The 1,322-nt window shown below is 46.7% G+C and overlaps 1 annotated feature.

Annotated features, from left to right (window-relative positions):
* Positions 279–780: an enhancer, noted in NCBI's record as "NANOG hESC enhancer chr10:59893686-59894187 (GRCh37/hg19 assembly coordinates)". NCBI's record gives its function as "activates a minimal SCP1, AML or CMV promoter by ChIP-STARR-seq in naive H9 embryonic stem cells {active_cell/tissue: H9 hESC(naive)}" and the evidence as "EXISTENCE:reporter gene assay evidence [ECO:0000049][PMID:30033119]".

The following is a 1,322-nucleotide window of genomic DNA, read 5'->3' as shown; positions in this document are numbered from 1 at the left end:
TCCTCAGTTTGGTCCGGGAACACCGTGGTTCATCAAGGCTCTGCATTCTTGTGCCTGCTCCAGGGGTTTGTACTCTGCGTACTCCCTATGTGTCTTTCCGTTTCTGGTGAAATGTGTACTTTTCTCTCAGGCAGGCCTTTGTTATCTAAGGGACAAACTAATTCACATCAATGCTTTAATGCAGCAGTTTTTAAACTTGGCTGCAACATTAGAAACACCTGGGTAGCTTTTCAAACTTCTCCCCATTGAGCCTTACCCTATCCAATCAAAATCAAAATCTGTGGGGATGGTGCCTTAATACTAATAATTTTAAAAAACCCTTTCAGGTGATTGATTATAAGGTGCAGTTAGGGCTGAGAATCACCGTGTTCTTAATAGTTCAAGTGGCCCCAGGGAATGTATTTAAATAAGAACTGAGGCTCTCAACATCTAACACCACAGAAGGACTTCGGGTGGGACTTTCAGTCTTTAGAAGAAACGTTTATAGTCTGAGGGAATGCGATGCGTGCAGGCAGTGAAGGCTTTCTTAATCCATGCTAATCAGAGAGTCGACCAGGGAAGAATGTGATGGGAAAGCTGGTGCTTGCTTCTGGCTCCTCTCTCCTCTGCAGGGAGATGAAGCGGAGTATAGGAGAGCAGCGACTGGCCAAGTAAGGAACAAAGATTGCTGTGTTAGGGGCACATTTTCAGCCATGTCCTGTAGCAGAGACAGAGGGGTTATGTTGCATATATTGTACTTCCTTGTCTTCTCTGAATATGTCTACATATATATATCCTTGTAATAGATCGTTTGACTCTGACCCTTAGCGATAGATTCTGGAGAGGCTCAACTTCCTAAGTGCTTGGTGCACACAATTATTCTCTTTCTTTTCTTTCTTTCTTTCTTTTTTTTTTTTTGAGACAGGGTCTCGCTCTGTCAACCAGGCTGGAGTGCACTGGAGTACAGCTCACTGCAGTCTCGACCTCCCAGGCTCAGAGAATTCTCCCACCTGAGCCTCCCGCTGCGGCCTATAGGCCTGAGCCACCGCGCCGACCTCAATTTTTCTTTCTGGTTTGTTTGTTTGTTTTTGAGACAGGGCCTCACTCCCATTGCCTACACTGTAGTGCAATGGCACCATCACAGCTCACTGCAGCCTCGACTTCCCAGGCTCAGGTGATTCTCGTGCTCAGCCTCCTGAGTAGTTGGGACTGCAGGTGCGTGCCACCATGCCTGGCTAATTTTTGTACTTTTAGTAAAGACTGGCTTTCGCCTATTGGCCAGGTTGGTCTCAAACTCCTGGGCTCAAGAGATCCACCTGCTTCAGACTCCCAAATTGCTGGGC

The sequence above is a fragment of the Homo sapiens genome, chromosome 10, assembly GCF_000001405.40.
Source record: "Homo sapiens chromosome 10, GRCh38.p14 Primary Assembly".
Taxonomy (NCBI): Eukaryota; Metazoa; Chordata; class Mammalia; order Primates; family Hominidae; genus Homo; species Homo sapiens.
Note: the sequence above shows the minus strand (reverse complement) of the source record. Positions and strands in the feature narration are given on the sequence as shown.